Source organism: Homo sapiens, chromosome 10, assembly GCF_000001405.40.
Source record: "Homo sapiens chromosome 10, GRCh38.p14 Primary Assembly".
Lineage (NCBI taxonomy): Eukaryota > Metazoa > Chordata > Mammalia > Primates > Hominidae > Homo > Homo sapiens.
Genome location: NC_000010.11, coordinates 101,111,548 through 101,139,338, shown reverse-complemented (window position 1 = coordinate 101,139,338; position 27,791 = coordinate 101,111,548). Strand labels below are relative to the sequence as shown.

Here is a 27,791-nt window from a genome sequence, read left to right as displayed (position 1 = left end):
AGCCCCCTCTTATGCGGATATCCCAGGGGACCCCAGATGAGGGGGTGGATGACCAAGCCCACCCTCCACTCAGCCGAACTTCCCCATGGGCTTGCTGGGGTGGGAAGTTGCTGTGCTCACGACCTGTGTCACAGCCCTCATGGCTGCCGGGCAGGGGCAGGGTTGGGGGACAGTGGTTCTGACAGTTAGGGTGGCTCCCCACCCTCAGTATCCCGCAAACACTTCTGCAGAGCTTCCAGTGACCCCCACACCACGAACTTCCACTTTCAGCTGAAAAGTTCTCTCACTCTCCCATCCCAGAGAAAAAGCCTCTTACCCCTCCATTTCAACTCACCCCTAGGGTGATGAGTTCTGTAGACCCTCCACCACACAGCTTCTTCCAGAAAAGCAGACCCAAGTCAGTCTTGTCTAGGATAATTCGAATAGGCTGGGGACTGGCTGTTATGCCTGTGTGCATGTGTACTGTGGCTGCAGGTCTGGCAAGGGTGGTCTGGAGGGCTCCTGGAGGTTCCCAGAAAGTCAATTCTTTAGATCTCTCCTAGGCCAGGCTAGTGCTGGGAACTGGTAGGTCCCACTTACAGCACCAGAGAGGATTCTGGCCTTAATTTCTGATTCAATGTGCCCCAGTCTCTGCAGCTTGCTGGGTAAGCGTCTAGAGCCCCAGAACTTCAGCAGATGTTGGTCCCGCCACAATGTATCTGCGTATCGCACAACAGACTCCCACCAACACATACACCATCAGCACACAATTACACACACTCATACAGAACCATACCCACCCACTTGCAGTGATGGTCTCCCACAGTGATCCACACTCCCCACTACCTTTACTCCCCCAATTACATTCTGTCACACACAAGTAAATACAGGGAAAATGCACAGCTCACACATAATTACATCTCACACACAATTACACCCATAAAATTCAAGATGATCCACTTCAGAAGCAGTCACACATTTCACAGAAAAATAGATTTACAAAGAGAAACTAATACATATTCTCCCAAACATCAACACGATTCATACATAATCACAAACAATGGTTGATTACACAATTACCCAAAAAGAAACAGTCACATTCACATACGGTTACACACACACCACTACAAGCCCGTGCATACAATGATAGTTTCGATTTGCAACTTAAGCAGAAACAAGCATTTACACGCAAGAATTGCAAACACAATTATACACTTAAATACCATTATAAATATTCACTATTTGCTCGCATTGCTGATTGCTCACATTATCACAAACACACCACACACACACACACACACACACACACACACACGACTCTCACATCCAAAGAAATCCACATCCTCTCAGGCACTGGTAATCCCAGGAGAGCCTGGCTCTCCCTGCTCTCCTCAACTCTGCCTTCTCTCCATCTGTCCTCTTCCTTTCCTCTCTCCAGAGCCTTAGGGTCCTGCCCCGCAACATGTCTCTCAAGTTCAGGTACCAAGGGCTGCCCCTGAAGCATCAGCTCACACACCAAACCCAAGTAGCTGAAGGACGCTAGGGTCCGCAAGGAGCAGGCAGCCCTGACTCCGGATCCGGAGGCTTTTATTTATTTTTTTCACATAAATTACACAAGCACTTTATAAAATGGTTACACAGAAAACACCTTATAAGTGCATAAATTAACACCCCCCCACCCCTCAAATGGGTTCTGGAGAAATGGGCTGCATTTATGTGAAAACCTGTCTGTGCGTACCTGGATTGGGCTGGGATGTGTGGTGGGGGCCTGGCAGACCAAGTGAGGCTGTTGTAGCTGTTGGCTGTTGTGTGTGGTGTAGTGTGTCACAGTGTGGCCATGACCTTGTGTTTGTGCTGGAGGGAGTGCCATGCTGTTCAGGATGAGTCTGTGTCACCCCTGACCTGTGCCTGATCGTAAGGTCCAAAGTGTAAACACTGTGACCCTCTGTCTGGTTGACACTCTCCCATAGATGCCCATGTGTGGCTCTGGGGTGACACCAGGAGGGACAGTGACACCACCTGTGTGTGGGCCTATGGGTTTCCATGTGTGTGATGAGAAGTGGGTCACAGAGAAGGGGTTTCCCAGGGCAAATTCAGATGACAGCCCTGGGGACCCCAGAAGCTCCTCCTCCCTTACCTCCCTTGCCTTTCTCTGAATCCCACGTTAAAAATTAAAATAAAATGAAATAAACAAAAACAGATTTCTTAACAGTTCAGACAGGTGCGGGACGCCTCTGGGAGGGGGGCGCGTGTCCTTGTCCCTTGAGCTCTTCCACCGAAGGGAGAACAGTGTCGGCACAAATGTGGGGGCCCTTCGGGGCCGTGCGAGGGCAGTGTTCCCCTCCTGGGTGCAGTCTGAGGCCAGGAGGGTGGGGAGGAGTCCTGGGTCTCAGGCCTCAGTGACCCCTGAGTGGGCCTGGGGTCCCACAGGGCAGAATGGGCAGGCTCACTCGCAGGCCGACGCCACCGACGTGACGCTAGTGATTTTGGTCGAGTCGTCAGACCACGGCTGCAGATTCTGCAGGGCGAAGAGCGACGAGTTGTGCACGCACAGAGGGTCAGCGGGCAGCGGCTGTGCCAGGCTCTTCTGGAAGGCCTCCTGCTGCAACTGCAGGAGGATGCGGTTCGCTTGCTGCCTCTCGGCCTCCCGTTCCTCCGCAGTCTGCCGTCTGCACCGGGAACAAGCCGTTACCTGCCAGGAGCACCGACCCAGCTCCCGCGTGTGCCCAACTCCTGGTGCGTTCCCAGGAGATAAACTGAACGAGCGCTGCTCGCCTTTGCAGTCCCCAAATCCAGTTTGGGCCCCTATAACGCGTTCCCTTCTTTTGAGAGTCCTGACTCCAACAAAGACTGGAAACCCCAAAGCGGATGGAGCCAAGGTATCCCAGAGGAGGAGCGATGGGAAAGTCTGCGAGGCCCAAACAGCTGGGACTCGCATCCACGCGCAGCGCCCACACCCCGGAGGCCTCACAAGGGGCAGCCGGGGTAGGATGGCATCTCGCCTCCCCCTCCCCGGCCCTGAGGGAGACCAGGTGCCATTCCAAGCCAGAGGGCCCTCACCCTACCCACAAGTCCAGGGCAGAGAGGCAAGGACCAGCGGGTACGATCTGCTCTGCGGGACGTCTCTTTCCTCCCTCTCTCTGCGAATGTCTTCTAGGACTTGGGCCTTCTGTGTGGAGCCCTGTGCCCTACCGGGGCTCCTGCTGGACCCACTGGCTTCCTCTGAGGCAGTTCAGGGAGGCGATGACTCACTTATTCCATTTACTGCCGCCCCTCCACCCTGTCAACTGAGATCAAACGTCTGTCTCTAAGGTGGACAGACCTAATGGGAGTCCCTGGGGCCTTCAGAAGCAATTTGTAGGCGATCGATGAAGCCATGCGAAGCCTGCAAGGGCCTCTTCCAGCAGCGGCTGCTGACCTGCTCTGGGCCGCCTTTTCTTGACTCTGTGTATCTTTCCGTCTTTCGTCTTTCCCTTATCCCCTGCATTTCAAACGGCCTGAATATTTCTCTTTTAGGCTTTGTGTCTTATCTCTCGTTTTCTCTCCTCCCCACCCACTTGGTTCTCTCTGAATTAAAGGAATTTGTTTGAAAAGAAAATGGTGGTTTCAGTCATCCATTGCTTTTTCTTTATTATACATAAATAAGACTTCTGCAGGCTGCCTGTTTTTCTCCTTTTTTTTCCTTGAGCGGGGTCCCTATCCCTCTCCACCTCTGAAACTGGTTGTGTTTCAGTTTCTCTCTTTGCCTGCCTCTTTCTTTCTCTGTGCCCCTCTCTCTGGGAGGCCTGCCAGGCTGCCTCTCCTCCCCTAGGCCAGCAGCCCTCAGTAGGCCTTGGAAACCGGAGTCCCCCCAACCCCCGAGCTAGCCCTGGCTCCCTCTTTAGCGTTCCAAGGTCTGAGGCCGCATCCCCCACTCCTTTCCCAGCGTCAGAAATGTTGTGGTAGAATCGTGGGGCCATGGCTTCCTTTGTGGCCCCGTAGGCGGAATCCCAGGCAGATTCCTCGCCTTCGTTCAGAAAAAGAGGAAACTCCAATTCCTTCCTCCTGCCCCAAGGCCCGCCCGTCTCGGCGCCGCCGACTTCGCCCAGACTCTCCCGCGCTACCCCATGGGGCCTGAGCTAGGGGAGAAACTCCGGCGGGCAAGGGCCAGATGTGCGGGAGGGTGCAGCGTGCCAGAGGGTGCAGCGTGCCAGAGGGTGCAGCCGGAGAAAGCGTCAGTGCGCGCGGAGAGGGAGGCTGCTCGAGAGTGTTGGGGACGCTTCACGTCCGTGAGCGTAAATGTGAAAAAACAAAACAAAACAAAAAGCCCATTGCGTAGTAACTAGAGTTGTGGCTATGGGAGAAGGAAAATTCTCTTTCTCACACACACCCATCTGCTCCTAATTGATTCCCCTTCCAGTGGGACCCGCGAAACCCCGCCGCAGCCGGCGCGGATTGATTTTCTCCTTCCAGGGTAGGGACCGGCTGCGCAAAGGCCGGGTGTCTGGGGGAGGAGACCGTCAGCAGGGCCGCGGTCTGGGGCCACAGACCCTCTGCCGGGAGCCCGGCTGGAGCGCTGCAACAAGGTGCGGGCTGTTCTGCATCCAGTCTCCAGGACAGAGCAGGATTCCATAAGCAAGAGTTTGCGCAAACAAAAAGCTCCCCAGGACTCACAGATCCCTGGAGCCTGGACTGCGTGGAGTGCACTAACCCGCCTGTTTGCCCAAGCGGCGGAATAGACCTGCCGCGTCTACACCGGCAGAGAGTGTGCCAACCAGAAAGCCCTGAAGCCTCCGGTAAAACAGAGCCAGGGCTCTTCAGCCCCATCCCAGCTATCGGCCTCGGTTGCTTCCAGCTCCCCGCAAGCCTAGCGGGAGCTCGCTCCTCCGAAAGGATCAGAAACCGCGAGCGGAAAAAGTATGTGCGCCCCACGAGAGGCCAATGAACCGAGAGCTGCCTGAGACCGCGCCGCTCGCGGGCGGCCGGCCCGCCCCGCTTGCTCACCTCCACTTTGTCCGCCGGTTCTGGAACCAGGTTTTGACCTGCGCATCGGTCATTTTGAGCGCCTTGGCCAGGGCGGCGCGCTCGGCCGAGGCCAGGTACTTCTGGCGGTGGAAGCGCTTCTCCAGCTCGCAGATCTGCAGGCGTGTGAAGGACGTGCGCGGCTTCTTCTTCTTGGGGGGCGTCCGGTTCTGATAGGGGTGACCTATACGGCGTGTTACAGTGAAGGGTGAGAGGGCCACTGGAGCGGGAGACAGACAGACGGCAGAGGCAAGCAGCAGAGCGTCAGGAAGCGTCCCAGGCCCAACACCCCGCGAGTCAGCGAGCGCAGCAGCTGAACCCCCACGAGCAGGGCCGAGATCCTCCCGTTAGCCCTCAGCGACAAGCCCACGGCGGGAAACGGCCTCCTCCTGCCCGCCAGTCCGACGCCGCCGTCGCCGCTACCACGGAGGCCTCCCTGGCCCCGGGCTCCCGCGAGCCCAACCACCTCCCTGCCGCCTCTCCTCCAGGGGCAGTCTAAGGCGAGCTAATGGTCACGCTCCCCTCCCCTCAGTCAGCCCCAGGCCTTCAGGCTCAGAGTAAGAGGCCGAGCCTGACTCTGGAACCCGACCTGAGCCTCCATCCACAGCAGCACACACCAACACAACGTACAACGGGGGCAAACTCACAGATCTATACACCCAAACAGGACCAGACAAGCACAGGCACGGGACAAGCACACAGGACACAGAGCAAAACAAGGCCACAGCCATACACTCGCTGAAACCGCCTTCATGCCTGACACAGTATTAGGGCCCCGCGGTAGGCCCTAAACCGAGTACCTTTCACCAGAGGCCCAGGATTAGTGGACTCCCGGCTGGGTTTCCAGCAGGGCCCTTCAAGACTGGCCTGGCCTGGGTGGGGAATGGGATGGGCACCAGGCCCTGCTGCCCCAGGCCAGAGAAAACTTAGGTTGGGGGCACTGGGACCCCTCTAGGGAGGGCCCTTCCTGAGGCCTAGACCCAAGCAACTGTTCTTCCTCTGGACACCAGCCTCCACACCACTTCTGCCGTGGCCCCAGAGTCTGGTAAGAAGCTGCAGAAGCAGTTTCCCTGGCTGTGCTGCTGCCTGGAACAGAAGCAGGAAGCCAGGGGTGCTTTGGAATCTCCTGGCCCAGTATCTAGCTCTCAGCAGCTTCTCCCAAGTAGTTATGTAAACCCCCCTTCCACTGTTGGGCCCTTGAACCGGGGGACCCCCAGGAGGCCCCATCTCTGCCAGCAGCAGCCAGTGCCTCCTGCCTCCTCTCTCTAAGATCGGCTGGCTAACCTGGGCTCAATTTGTGGCTGCTTCCCAGCCCGGACGGAAGGATCGTGGTCTAGGATCCAGGGAACCCTAAGGGGAGCAGAAAGTGAGAACGGGGGAAGGGATCCACGCCAGAGGGAGAGTTGAGTGCCCAGAGTGGAAACGGGAGCAGAGGGAGCCAGGGCCAGCAGAGGAAGGCGGGAGCGGGCAGCAGAGAAGGCGGCAGCGGCCACCACTTAGTACCCAATGTCCCGGGAGTAGTCTTCCCGCCACCGATCACCAGCCTACCGGTGCATTGTTCGTGCCCAAGATAACAGGGCTGGGCCCGGGGTAGGACACCCAGCCGGGAGAGAACGAAAATGAAAAGCTAGCTGTCCTGGGCGGCTAAGCCCCGCTGCCATCCTCCCAGATGAAGCCTGCTCTCCGGAAAAAAAAAAAAAGGCCACTGGTTCTGCTGATTTACCGGGGCTCAGAGCCCCCACTGGCCCCGCAGCACCACGGGCACCGGAGCTAGGGGCGCGAAGTGCATGTGTGTAGGGGACTGGAGGTGGGGGAACCTGTTCTTTTCTTGTGTCTGATCCTGGGGCTCGCTTCCTGGGTCCTAGAACAGCAGCCAGGACGGAAGAAACTGTTCACGTTGCACCCCTTTCTCTAAGATTCCCAGGCCAAGAGTAGCTGCAGAAGGTGGTCCTGAATCTATGGCCTCCTTCTCTCTGCCTGACCCGGCTAGTGGATCCGGAGAGGGGACCAGGGAGAGCTCCTCCGAGCAGGGGTCCTTCGGGAGACAGAGAGGGGTCCAGGCTGAGAGAACTCTTCAAGCATGGCGAGTCTGCGTTATAGAATCGGGCGGGCGGCTCAACTTGGGGGAAGCACCAAGAAGAGCTGGGCGACCTGGAGCGCAGAACCGGCTTTGGGGAGCCACCCGGCGGGGCAGGGGTAGCACGGAGCCCGGGCCGCGGCCAGGCGGGGAGCGCGCGGGCCGGACTCACCTGTGAACCTGTCCTTTGTGTATCTGCGGTTACTCTCCATCCAGGGGAAGGTGAGGCCAGTGAGGTTGTTGACGCCCGGCATGGCAGGCACAGAGGGCACGGTGGGCAAGCCGGTGGCCAGGGGCTGGGGGTGGGCCACGGCTCCGGCGAGCGGCCTGTGTGCCGGCACCCGGATTACCCCCGCAGCGCTGAGTGCCCCGGCACCGCCGCTGCTGCCGCCGCCGCCGCCAGGACCGGGGCCGCCTGCCAAGGCCATGTTCACGTTGTAGGAGCCGGTCAGAGGACCCATGCTGCAGGCGCCGCCGCCGCCTGCCGGGCCTCCGGGGCCGCCGGGACCTCCAGTACCATAGGCCCCCGCTCCTCCAGCCCCCGTCGCGGCCGCGGAGCCCCCGCCGCCGTAAGTGTAGGCGCCTCCGACCAAGCAGCCAAGGCCGTATTCTCCGTCCTGGAGGCGCGAGGCGGGTCCCATGCAGCCACCCTGGTCCGGGCTGTTGAGGATCTGGTCGATGCCGAAGCTAATGGGCTCTGCGTGACCCGGGTGGAGGTGGTGCGGACCCAGGTGCTCCATGCTGGCCCTGGCCCCACCGGGGGGCCCGGGCGGCGGCGCTCGCTGCGCTCGGCTCGGGGGGCAGCTAGCAGGGGCTGGGAGGCAACAGCGGCTCCTGGCTGCGCGGAGACTTGGAAGCGAAGTGCGCAGAAAGGCTAAAGTAGAAGGGGGAGGGGAGGGAGAGAGGGGGCGCCGTATTCTTCCCCTCTCTGGCTTCTGCTTCCCCGCTCCGGCTGCTCGCTCGCTGTTGACTCTGGGACATCAATCACCAGGCGAAAAAGCCCGGTGCAAGAGAGCTTCGCGGTTTCGACTGGGTCTCTCCATTGGCTGTGCGCGGAGAGGAGCGGGGTGAATGACAGCGCGAGGGAGGGGAGGGGAGGGGGAGAGGAAGGCCAGAAGCCGAGACAGATGCAGGAGCCAGAGATAGAGGGACGGAGACCAAGACTCGGAGTAGTTCATGAAGAGAGAGAAGAGGGGAACAAGGCGAGGCTTAAAAGGAAAAGGGAAAACAGGAAGCGACCATTCCCAGAGACGGACAGACAGACAAACCCAAGGAGGGTGAAGTCAACTGTCTTCCCGGCCTGTTGGGAGCCCTCCCCTCACTTTGAACTGGGCCAAAGGAGTCCAGCCCACAAGGCGTCTGAGGAAGGGATGTCTCTGCCCAACTGGAGAATCTCCTCAAGGGCTCAGCTGCGAAACACCTGTCACTCAACCAGGAGATTTACTCCAAATTTCAAGTCCAGCTTTTTAGAAAGTAGAAGACTGTCTACTCCCCAGGTATGGAGCCCAGGCCCTGAGGCAGGACGGTGAGTTCAGGCTTGCCCTTCTTTAAAACACAGGCCTATGAACAACTGGCTATATGTTATAAAAATCAGCAACCACCCCCCAACTCAGCCTTCTTAGACAAATTCAGGAAGGGAACATATCCTGAAAGGCAGGCACAAGTCAAGAGGGTTGGTTTGGGGTCTGCTGCCAGGGTGCCCATGCCTCAACATACCCCTTTGGTTTTAAATAAACAGATGCGTCAAGAAGTAAAATCCTACAGGGTTCGAAAGAGGCAATTCCTACAGTGTTTGAATGAATTCAACCAGATTGCATTCCACCTAACAATTACCCCAGGGTTGGCTATTCCAGACAAGAAGCCTTTGGACTGTGGTGTGTGTTCTTTTCTTACGTTTGGAATCTTGGGAGGGAGCCATAGGGGCTTAAGGCCGTGGGGGCTGGGATTGGTGGGACTAGGATCAGGGAAGTGCATCCAGGACAAATTTAGGCCTTTCCAACGTTTTGCCAGTGGCTGTCTGGCTGAGAGCCCAAGAGAAAAGGAGGAAACTCCCTTTTTCTTCTTCCTGTCTTTCCCCTCTCCAGTAGAAAATGTTTGCTACCTTTTAGAAGCCAAGCTTTGGGAAAGGCACAGGTTCCATCACTTGGGATCTATTTCTGTTCTATTTCAGTTCAGTTTCAGATTAGACTTTTGGGTAGGCCCTGTCTCTATCTGGAAAGATGCTAGGATGTGAAGACTCACATTCTCTCCCATCAAGTCTTATTGCAATCTATTTGCTTTGGGCATGTCTGTCACCTCCACTTGAAGAGATCTTCTTGGAGGCAGAGAGTGGCTTATTCATTTCTGTTCTCTCCTGAAGAATACAGCCCCAAACAACAAAATATGGTCATCTTGGGTGAATAACAAAGAATGTATCTCTTTATTCAATAATATTTATTGAGTACTGTACTCACTATGTGTCAGGCACTGTTCTAGGCATGGGGGACATAGCAGTGAACAAAACAAAGGTCCTGACCTCATGAAGCTTACATTCTATAGAGGGGGTCAGACAATAAGCAAAGAAGCAAATACAACAAGACAGATGTTAGTATTATGGAGAACAATATAAACTCTACACCAATCCTTCGAGATGAGTATTCTCCCTATTTTACAGATGTGAGGAAAGTACATTTCAGAATAGCTATGATTGGTGTGGATCAATATGGAGGAGCTAGACTCAACTTGCTTTTGTGGGTTAGCCTGGAAACCTACGTGCTGGTTGGAAGTTTGTATCTGTGGGGAAAACCTTGTCTGAGCTCTAGCCAGGTGGACAAAGGCCCACTCAAGACAAAGCCAAATGTGAAATTGGTAGTTGTTTGTAAACACTAAGCAGAAGGCTGGGCATGGTGGCTCACACCTGTAATCCCAGCACTTTGGGAGGCCAAGGCGGGCAGATCACGAGGTCAGGAGATTGAGACCATCCTGGCTAACACGGTGAAACCCCGTCTCTACCAAAAGTACAAAAAATTAGCCAGGCGTGGTGGTGGGCACCTGTAGTCCCAGCTACTCAGGAAGCTGAGGCAGGAGAATGGCGTGAACCCAGGAGGCAGAGCTTGCAGTAAGCTGAGATCGCGCCACTGCACTCCAGCCTGGGCAACAGTGCAAGACTCCATCTCAAAAAACAAACAAACAAAAAAAAACACTAAGCAGAAACATGAGAGGGCTCCGCTCCCTCGCCAGTTCTCTTCTTCCCACTTACCCAATCCAGGTACTCTACCCCTTCCCAAGGAGTTCCATAACTTACTTTGGAAGTTGTCTGAACCCGAATGAATCTCTTCCTGCCTCTTATCTTGAGGGAACTAAAGCAGAAATAAATTATTTATTGAAAGACAGTTTTGTGCCAGGTACCACATCATGCTTATCTCATTTAAGACTTATAACAACCCAGGCAAGTTAATAGAAATGTCCCAATTTTTTATAATTGAGAGAATTGAATGAATGTTCATGGCAGTATTATTCATGATAGCCCAAAAGGGGAAACAACTCAGATGTCCACCAACTGATGAATAGATAAACAAAATTTGTTATATCCACACATGGAATATTATTTAGCCATAAAAAGGAAAAGAAGGGAAATGCTGGTTCATGCTATAACATGGATGAACCTAGGAGACTATTCTGCTAAGTGAAAGAAGCCAAGCACAAAGGCCACATATTGTATGATTCCACTTTTATGAAATGTCCAAAATAGGCAAATCCACAGAGGCAGAGAATAGATTAGTGGTTTTCAGGAACTGGGGGCAGCAGGGAATGGAAATTGACTGCTAATGGATACAGAATTCCTTTTGGAGTGATGAAAACATTCTGGAATGAGATAGTGGTGATGGTTACATAACTTTTAAAAATATTAAAACCCACCGAATTATACATTTTAAAGGGGCTGAATATTATAGCACATGAATTATATCTCATTTTTAAAAAGAAAAAAATGGCTGGGTGCAGTGGCCCGTGCCTGTAGTTCTAGCAGCTCTGCAGGGTGAGGCTAGAGGATCACTTGGGGCCAGGAATTTGAGCCTGAGATGTGCTATAATTGCACCTCTAGCCTGGGCAACATAGCAATGCCCCATCTCTAAAAAGAAAATGAAAACTGAGACTCAGTAAAGAGAACAAACTTGCTCCAAGTTCCATAGACAGAGAAGATTGATCTGGAATCTCAAAATCTGAGCTATTTTCCTTGTTTGAGGCTGAAAACTATGGGGAAGGGTACTGCAGCTTTTTTTGAGGCTGGGTCCTAGTGGCCTCACTCCTTTTAGTCTCACCACAGTTTTACCTGCTGCAGTTAAAACCCCATCTTTTGGTGTGGGTTGGTTGAAGGTAAAATTTATAAAACTAAATAAAATAAAATAAAATAAAATAAAATAAACCACCTATCTTTCCAGGTGCACATCTCCAGCTCAGATGGCCTTCCAACCCTTTTGGCATTTGCCTGATCTACCTCTTGAACTCCTCAGATCTGGTATCAGTTGTCCAGGGTACCTGGGAGGAGACTTTACCATTCCTGGCCCAGCTTAAGGTTGGCAGAGTCACCACTCCCTTGTACATGGCCCACTAAGACTGTCAAGCTCTTCTCATTAAAATCCAGCAGCCCAGGGATATACTGACTTTCCCCTGCGATCACAGCCGCTTCCTTGACGGATTTCTTCCTTTTTCCCCTCCTACCTTTTTTGTTTATCAGAGTCAACTTTTATCCCAATTGGGGATACTCCCAACTTTTACCCTCAATGAGGTGCTGGGATTCTGTGAGTCAGCTTAATCCCAGCCTTTGTCTTCCAATAGGGTATTTACTGAGGGCCAAGACTACCCTCTCTGTCCCTTCCTTACCTAGAAAGATGAGACTGGAGGGTCAGGATTTGCTGGGCTCTGGCGCCCACCCCTTCTCCTGAGAGCAGTGTTACCTGAGCACGGTGTTGCAAGGTTGGGAAGTTTTCTGAAACAGGAGAGGAGACTCACACAAGTTTATATTCGCTGCAGCTTCTGTGTTTCCACCGTGCTTTTGCATGCCTTGCAAAACAGCCCTGATAGGAACGAGGAGGGAGGGGAAGAAAGCAGGACTCACAGAGCAACTGCCATGTGTGAGCCACCAGAATGATCTCTCCACTCATCTTTAATCCTGTGATGTGGTTTTTGTTATCCCCATTTTACAGATGAGAAAACCAAGGCACTGAAAGCTGGAAAGGGGCAGACCAGACGCAAACACTGCTTTCTTGACTCCACTCACTACAAGCTGCTTCCTTAAGCCTAAACTTGGCTCTTGCCTCACAGGACTATCTTGCAGGAACCTAGGTGAGTTGCAGATCCTTCTCTCTGGTTCTGAGGCCACCTGGTAACACCCCTCCCCCCAAGCACCGGCTCCCCCTGGCCTGCAGAATAAAAAAGTGCCTCCAATTAAAAGAAGAGCAGCTGGGGCCAGGGCCCGGGCTGGGGGAGGAGGAAAGGACGGGCTCAGCCCAGGGGGAGGCCCCTTTGGATCCCACACAATCTCCTCCTCTTCCCCGCTCTGAAAGAGACCCCCGGGCCAGGGGTTGTCCTTTAGCTTACGGATATGTGTGGAAACTTAATTACTTTGTGTTTGTGGGGCCGTGCATCCACGAGGGGAAAGCTGGATGGGAAAGCCTGTGTGACAGTCAGGATTGAGAGGGCTGTGCAGATGTCCTGGGCATGTCTTTAAGAAATAATTTTAACAATGTATTCAATGAATAATTATAGAGCATCTAGTATGTATCAGGCACTGTGTTAGGCTGTTGGGATACAACTGCAAGCAAAATGCATGTTGGGAAGAGTGTTGGAGGAAAAGAAGGGAGTCTGGGTATTTTATACAACTGGATTTTGTCATGTGAGGATGTATGTGTCAGTGAGAATGCAAGTGAATGTGTTTTCTGCAACAAGATGAGTATGTGTTTACAACTGTTCCTCTGTAGTGAGTGCCTGTGATGGGATGAGGGCATCCCTCTGCTACGACTGCGTGCTGCAGATGGCGTGTACCATGGGAGGAGTGTCTTTTATTCCGATGGAATTGTCAGAGAAGTGGCTGTGTATGGGCCTGTGGTCGTGGGGAGGGGGACACAGGGTATACCCAATGGATATATAGTAGGGAAAGGGGGCTGAGAAATATGTAAGGGGATGTGTGACATGATGCGATCCATGGCGGGGCCAATGGGGTCTGCATTCCTAGTACCAAAAGTGTTCCCTCTACCTTCCCATTTGTCTCAGAAAAGGGGCAGAAAACTTTCCCTGCTGTGGGAGAGGCAGGATCACCTGGTGACTTAGGGACTTAGAGACCCAGTAAAGGGCACTGTAACTCCAGGAGCCCTGGGTTGGGGAGGAGGGTCTCTAGGAGCCTAGACTGAGGAGGTGGGGGGAGTGAGTAGGCCAAGTGACTCAGCTCAATGAGTCCTCGGGGTTGGGGGGGTTGTTCCAAGGCCAGCCCCCTGTCCCCCTACCCAATTCTTACATAAGATATGGAGGACCTCTCCAACACCAATGGACAGGCACACATTTTCCCATCAGTGGAGAGACCCTGAATGGATAAAGGACAGACAGACAGGAGACAGACATGTCCCTGCTGTAGGCCACACTTAGCTGTCACCTTGTGTAGGGGTACGGAGTTTTCTTCTCCTCCCCTGCCCATTCCTCTCAATCAGAGCCCAGCAGGTGGATGCTTCAGAAATAGGGTGCTTCTGTAGGGATCCCTTCCCTTCACTGTCTCCCCTCCCTGCTCGGCTTCTGACCCTAAAGGAAGCTGTTGGCCTCATTACCCCTGGGCATTGAGCTAAGGCTTCAGGCCTCTCTCTGACTAATTCCCTCCCAAGAGAGGCCCAGAGATCCTCAGATTCCACCATCCATCCAGCACTGTATTGACCATGGTGGCCTTGATTAGGGAATCTCCCATCCTGAGTCACCTCCAAGGATGCCAGAAACCTGGAAAGGGGCAGGTAGGGAGTAGGCTAAGAGAAGGCTCAGGGAAGGACAGACCCCCAGGGCCCTGCTCCCCCAGACAGCTCTCAAAGGGCTCCCTGGGCACGGAGTTCAGAGTCCCATCAGTGGGTCCCATCAGTAGGGCAGCTGAGCCTAGGACCCAGGGCTGTGGACCAGCCCCAACCTCTCTCATCCTTCGTGTCTCCCTTGGCTCCACTCTGCTGGCCAGGTGGGTCTGTGCTGGGTCCAGAAGCCAAGCCCTGCACTAAGGTGTAGGGGACGGAGAAGAAGCCAAGAGAGCACCAGCCTGCTGTGGGACCAGGCCTCTGAGGGCCCCGCTGCTTTCTAAGAACCATCCTATTCCTTCCTGGGGTTGGCCAGCTCCCTTTGCGGTCTGCAGAAAGGACCTCTACAGGTGTGCAGATCCCTCACTTTGCCTGTGCACAGTAAAACAGAGGAATGAGGCAAGCTTTCCAGCTGGGTGGGTGACGGCCCTGCAGTGGCCAGCTCTACCCAGATTTCTCATCTCAATTCCTCGCCTCTGCTGGGCGTGCAGATTTGGCCTCAGAGTAAGGGTGGGTGGAGATGCCCAAGCACAGGAAACCCAGCCTCCCAGGGGACCCAATCCTGAACTGTGGCTGAAGAGGTGGAGGTGGGGGTCATGCAGTCCCTCCTACGTGCTAGGGTCACCTTGACAGAGGCAGGTCTAGTTATTTCAGGGGGTGCTTAGGACTGTTTGCACATTGGAAGCTGCAGGCTCCTGCTGAGCCAGGGCTGGACTGTGCTGGGAGTGGAAAACTGACTGGGACACCTCCTCAAGATGAGAGAGCCTGGCTACCTAGGACTCTGCCTCCACCCGAGCCTGGTGGATGGAGTTCAGGTTTGATACTAACTTGCCAAGCTCCTCCTCCACCAGAAAAGCAAGGCGGGGTGGGGAGCGGTGGAGAAAATGGCCTCAGCTGGGGAGACCCATCTGCTGGCCGGTGGTAGTTGGGGCGGGGAGGTTAACATGTTCCCCATGGTGTCCTGACTACACACTGAAGCACAGCATATACACCAATGGTGACACACAGAAATACCCAACTCCTGAAGACTTCCAGACACAGGCTTGGCACAGAGGCAACACTCTCACACGCAGATGCACAGATGCCCACTCACCTTGCACAGGAACACGCAGACACTCCTCGGTGTGCAGTCCCCACACGTGCTCACAAAGCCTCCTTCATGCACTCATGTGCAGATGCCCACAAACACATCCATCCCACTCAGTCTCTGCAGCACAGATCCAGAACCAAACGAAACCCTCTCCCTCCGTGCACACAGCCCTATGGATGCTGGTGCACAGGTACACACAGACACACCTAACCACACTCCTACAGACTTACAGGCACGCTCACTTCCACACAGACCTTCCTGCTCAGATAACACAAAACAAAAAAACAAAACCACCCCCTCCCCTCTCACACATACTCTGAAGACGGCCACAGGGAGCTCAAAAGCAACCACAGTTTCCCAACTTTCCTGGGGAGGCCACGGTCGCCTTCCCTCGCGGGGAAGGAGTGGGAGGGCGGGGCAAGCCGCAGGTGCCAGAAGTGGGTGTGGGTGGGGTGAGCGCCGAAGGGGGAGGAACCGCATCCATATGCATGGTCTTCGTGCACAAAGAGCAGCTGCCCAGAGCTGGAGTCCCGGCGGGCCCAGAGTCGCACGGAGGCGGCGGCGGCCCAGCTAATTGAATTAGGTCGGCCAGGCCCTGCCACCCGCGCGCCACCCGCGTCCGCTCTGCCACTCGTCTCCGGCCGCCGCAGGCGCTCCTTGGGTGCCGAGGGACGGATTGAGGGAAGGAGGCGTCTCCGCCTGAGCCCCGGCCCGAGGCGGCCTCTCTCCCCGGAAATAATCCCATTGTCCCTGGGGCTGCGGGCGGCCCTGGGCGCCCGGGATCCCCAACTGGACTGCGGCACTGTGATTAATGGGACTGCGGCGAGGAAGCTGACACCGGGAGGGGCCGTCGCTCTCCTCTGCCCGGTCCTTCTCAGCTGCCCTGCGTTCCGGTGCCCCTTCCCCACGAAAGTCGGGAAGCTAGAGCGGGGAGGGGCGAGGGGCGGGTGCGGGGAAGGCCACTGCTGGGAATTAGACCAGTTAGGGGCCTTCCTGAGTGTGGTATGAGTCTGAGATGAGCGAGTGGGTCTGGGTGTGCGGCCATGTGCCCAAGAGTGCAAGAGCACCAGAGCTGTCAGCCCCTGCCAGTGGGGTGGGATGCTGGGGGGTGTGGATATGGTAAAGTGCACAGGTACTGCAGGGCAGGAATTATTAGAGCTGTTTGTAGTGACGCATGGATGGGATTTGTAAGGAGACCAAGCTCCCATCCCTGGGGGCCACAGTAGCCCCAAAACCAGGGAGCTGGGCCTGAGTCCCGGCACTGCCCTGGGGCCCACATAAAGTCGCTGCCTGTTATCTGCCCTCCTGTCGGCCCAGATTTCTGCAGCCACCTCACCCCTCGACCCGACCACCGGCAATTTACAGTGGGGCTCCTGGCACCTCACTTTTCCCATTCTCCCCTACCCGCCATGGGCTCCACCTTCCTGGGATGAAGCACCAGCAGTGTCTGTTCAGCTCTTCCACTCCTGACATCCTTGATATCCGGACTGTTCCAATACTTGTAGCCCTTTTGAGGTTAAGCTCACAGATCCCCCCACCCTCTCCACAACACACAGGAAGCCTCCGATATGTGGCTGGGAAATAACTCCTCTGACTTAGGTCGCCTGCAGCTCCTAGGGCAGAGACTTTGTGTGTCTGTCCCTGAACTGCAAGTGCCTGGGGGCAGACCAGAGTCTCAGCTTGTCACCAGCAGATACCCACTCAGAGGTGTTCTGGACACCAGTGAGACTTCCCTGGCTGTTGAGCTCCACCCAAGATTGGTGCAGACCAGAATGTTCAGGCGGGGTGGGCACGGGGCATGCCCCTGAGTCCCACGGGCAACTTTGCCTTCTCCACTGTGAAGCCGGAGACCTGGTTCTGGACTGAGTGTACATATGAGGTGCCCTAGGGATCCAGTTCGGGGCTCTTAGGGCTGTGGAAGAGGGAAACCATCCTAGGAATCCCTGGCTGCACTGGGTTTTCAGGATAATCCCAGTGGCCAACAGAGCCCCAGCCAGGACCCCTGGTGGGGTGCCTCCCACCTGCTGCTGCCCTCTACTGCCCCCCTGCCCCTACTTGACCAAATCACCCACTTTCTCACCTCCACTGCCACCCTTAGCCCCACCCCACTCAGCTCTGGAGTAGGTTTGCCTCCTGGCAAAAGAAAACCCCGACTAAGGGTGGGAGCTAGGCGAAGCCTGAGCCTCCCACCCACCAGAAAGACTCAGTGCATCTCAGATCTTTGTGCCCCATTCGCCAGGGACCACCATCTGGGAGGGATAACACCACGGGGAGACATGGTTGCTGCCCCTGCCGGCACATCCTCCACTGCTGCCCAAGGCTCAGTGAGGTAGGTTGAGGAGGGAGCTCTGGGCTGGGGGCAGCCAGCGGGACACCCAGAGGGCGCGCGGCACCAACGCTGGGTATTCTCGCAGGCCCACCGCCAGGCCTGGGCGGCCAGCACCGTCTTTCCTGGGACTTTTACTGCAGCACCGAGATGAACAGTGACATTCCCCTCTCCCCTTTCATAAATATTGCATCTTCCCAATGCAATTACAGGAGACGGAACGGCATGAGCGTTTACAAAATAAGATTATGGGGTAATGCTAATGCAGTTTATGTCTGCGCTCTGACACCAGACAAACTCCCTATTAATAACCTCTCAATGAGGTGCGAGGCTCAGAACGCAGAGCCCGCGGCTTCCGGGACGCGCGCTCTGTAAGAACTGCCGAAGCGAAGCGTGGCCGCCTCACGCTGGGGGCCGCGGCCTGCGCCCTTTCTCAGGGGTGCTGGGTTCCCAGCCTTTCCAGGCCTCTTGGCCAGGAGTTCCCCCTGCGCCCCTTCTCCGGAGGCAGCCTCACCGACGCCGGGAGCCTCATCGGCACCCTTACCTCCATTTATCGTCTATTTCTGCAGCAGTTTAGTCCCAGCTGGTGCTAAGCCCCTCTCTTCCGAATCCACACTGCTGGGAGGGGCCCAAGTTTTCTCCCCTAAAGGGCGTACAGGCCGTGTTCTTCCCCCACTCAGAAATTGCTCAAGGCTTCGCATTGCCTTGGCGGTGGGGATCCAAATCCCTTCCCCCTCCATTCAAGGCGCTGCACTTACTTTCGTTTCATCGGTAGTACCTTGCCCCAGTCGCTGGCTGCCCTTTGCCCTGTTGTACCAACTGATAGAAACGCTCACACCTTCCCCAGTCATCCCTTGGGTGCAAAGCCCTGACAACCCCTTTCCCTATGCGCAGCCCCGCCAAAAGGAAAGAAAATTTCTACTCCTACTTCAAAAACGAAATCAAAGTTCCGCCTCCCTGCACATTCTCAGAGCACAGTTCATGAGTCCCTCCTCAAGTGGCCAAGAGCACACAATTTTTAAAAACTACTGTGTTTGGCCAGGCACAGTGGTACACATCTGTAATCTCAGCACTTTGGGAGGCCAAGATAGGAGGATCGCTTGAACTTAGGAATTTAAGGGTAGCCTGGGCAGCATAGCAAGACCCCATCTTTATAAAAATAGAAAAGTAGCTAGGCATGATGGCGCATCCCTATAGTCCCAGCTACTCCAGAGGCTGAGGTGGGAGGACCCTTGAGCCCAGGAGCTCTAAGCTGCAGTGAGCCATGATTGTGCCACTGCACTCCAACCTGGGTGACAGATAGAGACTCTGTCTCAAAAAACACAACACAACAAAACAATCCTTTTTTGGATCGTAGATTCAGAGTCACAGAGACATGGGTCTAGTCACAGGACACAGAGTTGTAGTCACACTGCTTTTATAGTATGTTTGTAAACAGATCCATTAACTGCTCTAACTCTTGCTTTTCTTGCTTATGAGAGGTATAGTGGATTCTGTCTTCTAATTCATCAAGCCGAAACAGTGTAAAGGTTTCCTAATTTATTGGGCTATCTCTGTTTTTCTTTCTTTCTTGTGACTGCACTGAAATTTATGTAAGATGTATATCATCCCTTCTGGTTCAGCCCTGCTCAATTTTCCAGACTCAGTTGATGAGTTCCTCAGACACTGTGTGCCTTTCTTGCCTCCCTAACCCCTCTTCTTGAGTCTTCTTTAGGGTCCCATTAAGAGGGCGGGGCTAAGGTGACAGAGATCTGGGAAAATAGGGGATCTGCACAGCAGAAAAGTGCAGACAGGATTTCAAGGTCAAGAGAGCCAGCCCCCTGCCTACTTCTTGCCCTGCTGCTTGCTGGTCATTAACACAACCCCTGGTTCTTCTTGGCCTTCAAATAAAAAGACATTTCATGCCCAAGGACTCAGTAATGAGGAACCAGGGAGGGGCTGGGGAGCCTGCAATCTCAGCAAAAGTTTCCCCACCTCAGAGGCTTCCTCTGCTTCTTCCCTCCTCCTCCTTGCTTCTGAAGTCAGCGAAACCTTTAAGCAGCTTCTGGAAGAAGGAGGCCTCTCTGATTTTGGAGCAAGCAGAAGAGTGAGGGGCACGAGCAAGGCCTCTTTGTAGGCCTCCTGGAGGCCCTTTCCAGCAGCCACCACCTCTCCATCAAGGTAGAATTGTCCGGCCTTTGGAAGGCCATAGGGGACAGGATGGGGCCCAGAGCCTGTTGGATGGGGGGACAGCGAATGCTTTACTATATTCTTCTATCCCTTGCCCCTTAAAACTGGGGCTAGACCTAATCTGGCCAGCACACACTTACCCCCAACTCCCACCCACCATTCTTGCCCTGGGCTACAAGTGACTTTGCTAAATACTGAAAACCTGCCTGAATCTGCCTGGAGACATTTCTGACTGACCACAACATCCCTCTGCTTATTTATGAAGGATTAGACCTTCTCTTTACCCCACCTCCCCTAGCCAGTGTCCCTCCCGAGTCTTTTCTAAGTGCTCTGGGTATGGGAAACCTTCCTAACCAGGCCTTTCACATGACTTGTACATGATGTATAGACAAACACACACACACACACACACACTCAGAGGTACATACAGACTCCTCACTCTCAAAAATGTGTATGCAAACTCGTAAGCATAACACATTGACCATCATTGAAGTCATGGGTCCAGCTATGCAGACATGCATCTGTACTATCCCCCACTGAAAAGCATGCACTCAGAGATGCATACAACCACACAGGTGTGCATGTCCACACAAAAGAACACGCACACATAAATACACAACCAACCCATACGCCAAGCATTGTTTCCAAAGGTGATGCTGCCATGGAATATCCCGGAGTTTGCCAGGGTTGAGAAACGTGGCTTCTCTTATCCTTGATGGGAATTCTGTGTACATATTATAATGTGTTCAACCTATCTGGGCCTTGTGCAATTGTACGACAGTATTGGTAAAAACCACTCCCCAGAAGGTACCTGGGCTATGAGTCATCCCAGAGGACCTGGAGAAGTAGGAAGAGCAAAAATCTGTGCTGAGGGGCGTGGCCTATTCATTGGAATCAGAACCTGCCCATCATCTGCACTCTGTAAGCCAACTGAAGAGCTTAAAATGGGAAGTAGGAACCTAGTGGGCAGGCTCCAGTGGGGTGTGGACTTTGAAAAAAGAAAGGAAGGCCAGGCACAGTGGCTCATGCCTGTAATCCCAGCACTTTGGGAGGCTGAGGCGGGCGGATCACTTGAGGCCAGGAGTTCAAGACCAGCCTGGCCAACAAGGCGAATCCCATCTCTGCTAAAAATACAAAAATTAGCCAGGTGTGGTGGCACATGCCTGTAATCCCAGCTACATGGGAGGCTGAGGCACGAGAATCCCTTGAATCTGGGAGGCAGAGGTTGCAGTGAGCAGAGATCGTGCCACTGCACTCTAGCCTGGGCAACAGAGAGACTCTTGTCTCAGGAAAAAAAAAAAAAAAAAGAACCCTGTGCTCTCAAACTCCCACTTTTGTCCTCAGGTAGCTGTGTTTTTTTTCTCTTAGGAACAAGTTACCCTTTTAAGTCTTCATGCTGCTTGAGGGTTTGTAAGGGAAAAGTAGCTATTTCTTCATATGTTGCTGCTAATTGGTTCCATCCTCCCTGGGTTATGTAACAAAAAATACAGTACTGTTCATATTCTTTGATCAGTTAATCCCTCTTTTGGGACCATATCCCAAGGAAATGAAAAAGCAATTTGTACAAAGATGTTTATAGCAGCGCTATTCATAATAGTTCCACCTTGGAAACAATCCAAATACCCAACACTGGGGAAGTGGTTAAGTCAGCTAGGGGACATCAGCACAAAGGAATAGCACACAGCCCATCAAACTGCTAAACACAACACAGGAAAATGGTGTGATGTGCCACATTCTAGGTGAAGACGCCATGCATTATAAAATATCAGTATTCCCCAAGGCAATTCATAGACTTGATGCCCTACTAAACAAAAACTCATTTTCTTGAAACTCAGAAAAATAAAAAGATTCTACATTTCACATGAAAGAGTAAATAGGTGAACCTGTCAAATAATTTTCTAAAGAAGAGCAAGTTTGACCAGATGTTAAAACATTTTGTTATAGGATAATTAAATGGAAACAATGTAGCGTAGGCATCAAAATTGGCACTTAAATCAATGGGACAGAATAGAGCCTAGAAATAAACATAATCACACCTAAGAATTTAATATAGGTGTTAGAAAATGGGGAAAAGAACATTACCAATAAATTGTGTTGAGAAAAGCCTTACCATTTAAAAATAAATTTAAGTTATTTTATATCATATAAAAATAAAAATAGGCTAGGCAGGGAATTGGGGAATTCTCACACCTGTAATCCCAGCACTTTGAGAGGCCAAGGTGGGCAGATCACTTGAGCCCAGGAGTTCAAGACCAGCCTGGGCAACATGGCGAAACCCTGTCTCTGTACAGAAAAACAAAAAACAAAAAACAAAAACAAAAACAAAACAATAGGCAAACAGGCATGGTGTCGCATGCCTGTAGTCCCAGCTACTCAGGAGGCTAAGGTGGGAGGATTGCTTGAGCCCAGGAGTTGTGATTGTGCCGTTGCACTCCAGCCTGGGTGACAGAACGAGACCCTGTCTTAATTTAAAAAAAAAATTAAAAACCAACAATGCATGCTGGGTGCAGTGGCTCACACCTGTAATCCCAGCACTTTGGGAGGCTGAGCTGGGCAGATTGCTTGAGCTCACGAGTTTGAGACCAGCCTGGGCAACATGGTGAAACCCCGTCTCTACAAAAAATACAAAAATTAGCTGTGTGTGGTGGTGCCATGCCTGTAGTCTCAGTTACTCAGGAGGCCGAGGTGGGAGGATGGCTTGAGCCTGGGAGGTGGAGGTTGCAATGAGCCGAGGTGGCATCGCTGCCCTCCAGCCTGGGCGATAGAGCCAGAACTTATCTCAAAACAACAACAAACAATGCAAAGTTAAATTTTTAAAAAATTGAAGAAGATGATATATTTTTATGGGCTATACTCAGAAAAAGCACAGGTTTTAGCTTTTGTGTGTGTGTCTCACTCTGTTGCTCAGGCTGGAGTGGAGTAGTGTGATCGCAGCTCACGTCAGCCTCAAACTTCCAGGCTCAGGCGATTCTCCCACCTCAGCCTCTCGAGCAACCGGGACTACAGATGCATACCACCATGCCTGGCTAATTTTTGTATTTTTTGTAGAGACAGGGTTTCACCATGTTGCACAGGCTGATCTCGAACTCCTGAGCTCAAGCAATCCTCCTGCCTCAGCCTCCCAAAGTGCTGGGATTACAGGTGTGAGCCACCGCTGGTTTTAACCTTAATAAGATCAAGAGATGAAGCATTATGAGTGATATAAACATACATCATGGTGGTGTTTAATGTTGATGAAGTTTTTTGTTGCTGAGAAGGTAAGAGTTCAGTAAAACGGGGAAGGGAGAGGGATGTGTTTGCACCTTTCTGTCAGCACAGAGGAGACCTTGGTGCTGCTTGTGAAAGGGCTGCGCCTCTACCTGCTGTGGGTCCAATGGGGGTCCTGGCAGCAGAGCTCCAGGGCAGCTAGCTGGGGATACTCACTCATCTTCCAATCTGATCCTGAGCCTGTGCTTTCCTGTCCCCAAACCAGACTCAGATACCTGCCAGCCACCTAGAAGCCAGATTGCTGGGGTGCCAATTCCAATCCTCCACTTAAAAACCAGGCAAGGCCGGGAGCGGTAGCTCACGCCTGTAATCCTAGAACTTTGGGAGGCTGAAGCAGGCAGATCACCTGAGGTCAGGAGTTTGAGACCAGCCTGGCCAACAAGTCTCTACTAAAAACACAATAATTAGCCAGGTGTGGTGGTGTGTGCCTGTAATCCCAGCTACTCCAGAGGCTAAGGCAGGAGAATTGCTTGAACCCAGGAGGCAGAGGTTGCAGTGAGCCGAGATTGCGCCACTGCACTCCAGCCTGGGCGACAGAGCGAGGCTCTGTCTCAAAAAATAAAATAAAATAAAAATAAAAAAATAAAAACTGGGCTGGGACCATGGCTCACACCTGTAATCCTAGCACTTTGGAAGGCTGAGGCAGGAGGATCACGAGGTCAAGAGATTGAGACCATCCTGGCCAACATGATGAAACCCCATCTCTACTAAAAATAAAAAAAATTAGCTGGGCTCAGTGATGGCAGGTGCCTATAGTCCTAGCTACTCGGGAGGCTGAGGCAGGAGAATTGCTTGAACCCGGGAGGCGGAGGTTGCGGGGAGCTGAGATCGCGCCACTGCACTCCAGCCTCATGACAGAGCGAGACTCCATCTCAATAATAATAATAATAATGATAATAATCATAATCATAATTATAATAACTGGGTGACCTTGGACCAGTAACTTGACTTTCTAGACCTCAGTTTTCTCATCTGGAATTGGGGATAATTACAGCATCTCTTCATAGACCTCCTGTGAGGGTTAAATTCATGTAAAGCCCACAGAATAGTGTCTGTCCCAGAGTAACTTAGGAAAAGTTGGCGATGATTCAGGCTGGAGTTGAGTTGAGGGAACTCTAACAGGGGAGGCAGAAAATGGTGATTGACTTCTGTGATGCCTCTGTCTCCTAGGTCTTTGGCTGGTTTTTGAAGCTGAACCCACCTGGTTTTCTCCTTCATCTGATGCAGCAAGAGAAATTTGGCCAGGAGGGGGCCGTTGGTGCAGACCAAGCATCCAGTGGGAACACACAGGGGTCAGCTACCTTGGATTCCTCCTCCCCACTTGGGGGTTCAGCTTCCCTATTTCCCCCAGGGACAAAGACCCAGCCAGGTCACTCTCAGGGATTCAGGGAAAATAAGCATTGTGTCTGGGGCATAAAGAAAGGCCAAGTTCTGGGCATGTGGCTGCAGGCATGTCTTACGGGACAGAGACAGCCCCCCCAGCCGAGGACTGGCCTCCCAATAACTCTGTTCTGCCTGGAGTGTCCTTGTGCTGGACTTCCTCCAGCAACCTCACCCTTACAGAAAAATAGGGATGCTTTTCTTGAACTTCCTCTTTCTATTCCTCCTTCTAAGTCAGGGACAGATGGGGTGGCAGGGGTGGGAAGTATACTGATCTGTTTCTTGTCACTGTTGCCCCTATGTCCTGATATAAAAACCTGGGAGTCTTGTCTTTTTGGTGAAAACTCAGTTTATTGCTACATTTTATTATTATATCACTCATTAAAATTAGCCGAAATAGGACTTTCCAGGACCTACTTAGTGGCCACATAGTCGCCTCTGGGAGGAACAAAGGGAGTGGCTGCTGGGTCCACAGAGGATGAAGAGACATGCAGGGCAGGGGTCTTTCAGAGCCACATCGCAAAGTGCTTTCTTCTCTTGAGACTGGACCAGGTGAGCCTGTAAGAGCCAAGGTGACTACAGAATAAAGTGAAATGTCAGCCCTGGGGGGAGGGGGGCCCAGAGGTCAGCTGCAGAGAAGGGGAAGAGGATCCTGCCTGGCCCCACCGAGAGGCCAGCCCCACATAAGTGCTTGAAGTTTGAACTCAGACAGAGTCGGGGTTGATGACCAAGACCCTTCTTTCATTCATCCACCCATGCATTTATCTATGTATCCACTTATTTATCTATGCAGCCAACTTTATTGAGTTTTGCTCCAGGCCAGGACTGTCTGGTGCTGAGCTGAACAGATCTGTAGGAAAGGAGTTTGGGACAGACCCATAGGATGTGGGTTTGGCAATTCTTTCTTTTCTTTTCTTTTCTTTTCTTTCCTTTCTTCCTTCCTTCTTTTCTTTCTTTCTTCTTTCTTTCTTTTTCTCTTTCTCTCTCCTTCCTTCCCTCCCTCTCCTTCCTTCCTTCCTTCCCTCCCTCTCTTTCTTTCCTTCCTTCCCTCCCTCCCCTTCCTTCTTTCCTTCTTTCCCTCCCTCCCTCCCCTCCCTCCCTCCCTTTCTTCCTTCCTTCCTTCCTTCCTTTTTCTTTCTTCAATTTGCCACATTGCCCAGGCTGGTCTCGAACTCCTGAGCTCAAGCAGGCCAACTGCCTCGGCCTCTCAAAGTGCTAGGATTATAGGCATGAGCCACCATGCCTGGCCAATTCTTTTATTTCTGAATCAAAGCCAGAATCAACCACTTCTCAACCTTTCTGGGATTCCTGGTGACTTTGTAGTTTGCCCTGTGTTTGTTATTTTTGCTAACCCCTGTTTGCCTATAGTTCCTGATGATCAGAAAAATAAGCAAACCGAGCCTACAGCAGGAGAAGGGAGATGTATGCTTGTTTCAGAGCCCAAGAGCGGAAGAGACCTGGAGAGGCTGCAGAGAGAGGAGTCCAGGGAGGGGGAGCCAGAAGTCAGAGCTCTCCTACCTGTCCTCATCCCTCCCCCATGACCATCATCCTCTCCCTAATGTCCCCAACCCCCTCCCACATCCCCTGTTCCTTTCTCCACCCCCTACTCCCTCTACATGTCCCCTAGCCTCACACAGGGGTTCTCATATCCCCTCCCCCTTGGGAATCTGGCCTTGGGCCTCCGGTGCTGGAGAACTTGGGCTGGGCCTGAGCACCCCCTCCCTAATGAGCATTCGTTCTGGGATGAGCTCTGGCCTCCCAGGGTCAAAGGTGGCAGCTTTATTTACTCACAGCCATGCTCTCACTGCCCGGCTCCTTTCATCATTTTTTTTTATGATGGAAACAGCCCAGTGGCCACAGGCGCCCTGGGGGACCACCCCACGACCTCCCCTCTCCCCGAGCCCCCAGACACAGACACTTGTATTCCTCCAATAAGGGCTCAGGTTTCTCAACAAAGTACAGCTTTGCTCTCAGGACAGTTTTCAGCTGTCGATTTTATCACATTCACATTCTGTTCAGAGCCTGAGCCAGAGAAGCTGGGAGCTGGCCAGCATGTGAGAGTGAGCACGTGTGTGTGAGAAGCAGGGCGACGTGGGGGCTGAGGGTGCAGGGTGAGAGTGGGCATCTGTGGGTGAAATCCCAGGTCCGTATGGTGTGTCTGCTTTAAGAATGTTTTCATGTGTGTGAGAACCTGTGTGTGTATAAGCATGAGTATCTGGGGACAAGTATTACATATATCCATTTACCCCCAAAATAGCATAGGAATACTGTTGCCTGCACTTTCCCCTACATGTGCCCATATGGCTCATCTCGCCAACTTGCCCCGTGCTCTTCCTCCTCTCTGCTCCTCACCCCTCCAGGTGAGGTGCTTCTGTGCAGGAGGCACGTGGATCTGGGTGGCCAGCCTCAATGTGAGACGCCTGTCCAAATCAAGGCTCTCCTCACTGCCGCAGCCCTCCTGCCCACCTCCACCTCAGCTTTCTTGGCCTCCTCACTGGAACTCATTGACCCCCTTCTAAAGCAGTGTCCTGGCCGGGCGCGGTGGCTCACGCATGTAATCCCAGCACTTTGGGAGGCCGAGGCGGGCGGATCACGAGGTCAGGAAATCGAGACCATCATGGCTAACATGGTGAAACCCTGTCTCTACTAAAAATACAAAAAAATTAGCCAGGTGTGGTGGTGGGCGCCTGTAGTCCCAGCTACTCGGGAGGCTGAGGAGGGAGAATGGCGTGAACCCGGGAGGCGGAGCTTGCAGTGAGCCGAGATCGCACCACTGCACTCCAGCCTGGGCGACAGAACGAGACTCTGTCTCAAAATAAGTAAATAAATAAAATAAAAAAAAATAATAAAGCAGTGTCCCTGGGGGAAAAACCCTGATCAGGGAGGAGTTAGCCCTCCAGGAGCCCCCAAGTTGGAGTCCTGGAAGGGGTCAGACCTCAGGTGTGCACACAAATGTGGCAGTATTGGAAGGCCAGCCACTCCACAGAGGGACAAAAGACTTATGGACGGAGGTCGTGGCTGCGGGGTATTAGGCAAGAGTGGCTTCTGGCTGATGTTTGCTCTAAAATTTAAAAAAAAAAAAAAAAGGAGTGGCTTCTTAGGAGAGAAAAGCCTGAAGAGGGCCTCTCTTTGGGGACCCTCCAAAGGTGGCCCTTAGTCACACTATTTAAACTCCCAGGATCTGATTTCTGAACCTGGAAAGCGAGAGAGAGCACTCTGGGCTCCAGCACCATCCCCGTGTGGTGTCTGTGCCTGCAAGTATCTATGTGTTCATGATTGTGTACTCGTGCCTGCGGGTGATGTGTTTGACAGTGTGTGCTTGTGTGATGAATACACACAAGCCGACAGGTGATGATTTCCCAGTGCGTGTGCTCATGCCCCATGGAGGGGGTATAGCGGTTAGGTCCCATTTTAAATTACGTTATCCCATGTGTCTCACAAGCCCTTGCCTGACCCTATGTCCCAGTTTTGCATTCAGAATCT

The 27,791-nt window shown here is 53.0% G+C and overlaps 1 protein-coding gene and 1 long non-coding RNA gene across 6 annotated transcripts in view, besides 1 other annotated feature; one reads left to right on the top strand and one right to left on the bottom strand.

Annotated features, from left to right (window-relative positions):
• Window positions 1–27,791, top strand: part of TLX1NB (TLX1 neighbor) — a 51,946-nt gene that overhangs the window by 1,928 nt on the left and 22,227 nt on the right. Inside the window, exons 2-3 of one of the 3 annotated variants that reach the window (NR_130724.1) lie at window positions 12,241–12,379; window positions 24,099–24,639. This is a non-coding gene — a long non-coding RNA (TLX1 neighbor). Of the gene's footprint in view, window positions 1–8,192; window positions 8,583–12,240; window positions 12,380–24,098; window positions 24,640–27,791 lie in introns of those variants that run through there. The other 2 variants (NR_130723.1, NR_130722.1) reach the window with 2 other exon arrangements.
• On the bottom strand, window positions 1,550–8,039 carry TLX1 (T cell leukemia homeobox 1). Of its 3 annotated transcripts, none has more exons than XM_011539744.4 (3): window positions 7,230–8,039; window positions 4,963–5,200; window positions 1,550–2,648 (listed from the first exon to the last, which is right to left on the bottom strand). In XM_011539744.4, exons 1-3 carry the CDS (start codon window positions 7,795–7,797, stop codon window positions 2,426–2,428), a joined length of 1,029 nt encoding a protein of 342 aa, XP_011538046.1. In that variant the 5' UTR covers window positions 7,798–8,039; the 3' UTR covers window positions 1,550–2,425. The 3 variants fall into 3 exon arrangements, with proteins under 3 accessions (XP_011538046.1, NP_001182446.1, NP_005512.1); NM_001195517.2 differs by having other exon boundaries at window positions 1,550–2,671; window positions 4,963–5,164; NM_005521.4 differs by having other exon boundaries at window positions 4,963–5,164.
• Window positions 17,542–18,269: an enhancer, noted in NCBI's record as "H3K4me1 hESC enhancer chr10:102880827-102881554 (GRCh37/hg19 assembly coordinates)". NCBI's record gives its function as "activates a minimal SCP1, AML or CMV promoter by ChIP-STARR-seq in primed H9 embryonic stem cells {active_cell/tissue: H9 hESC(primed)}" and the evidence as "EXISTENCE:reporter gene assay evidence [ECO:0000049][PMID:30033119]".

What these genes read in the sequence shown, in the direction of transcription:
- TLX1 (XM_011539744.4), bottom strand. Translation starts at nt 7,797, where the DNA reads ATGGAGCACCTGGGTCCGCACCACCTCCACCCGGGTCACGCAGAGCCC. An exon ending in CACAAAGGACAGGTTCACAG is followed by an intron (nt 5,201 to 7,229) that starts GTGAGTCCGGCC and finishes CTCCCGCTCCAG; the next exon opens with TGGCCCTCTCACCCTTCACT. An exon ending in AACCGGCGGACAAAGTGGAG is followed by an intron (nt 2,649 to 4,962) that starts GTGAGCAAGCGG and finishes TTCCCGGTGCAG; the next exon opens with ACGGCAGACTGCGGAGGAAC.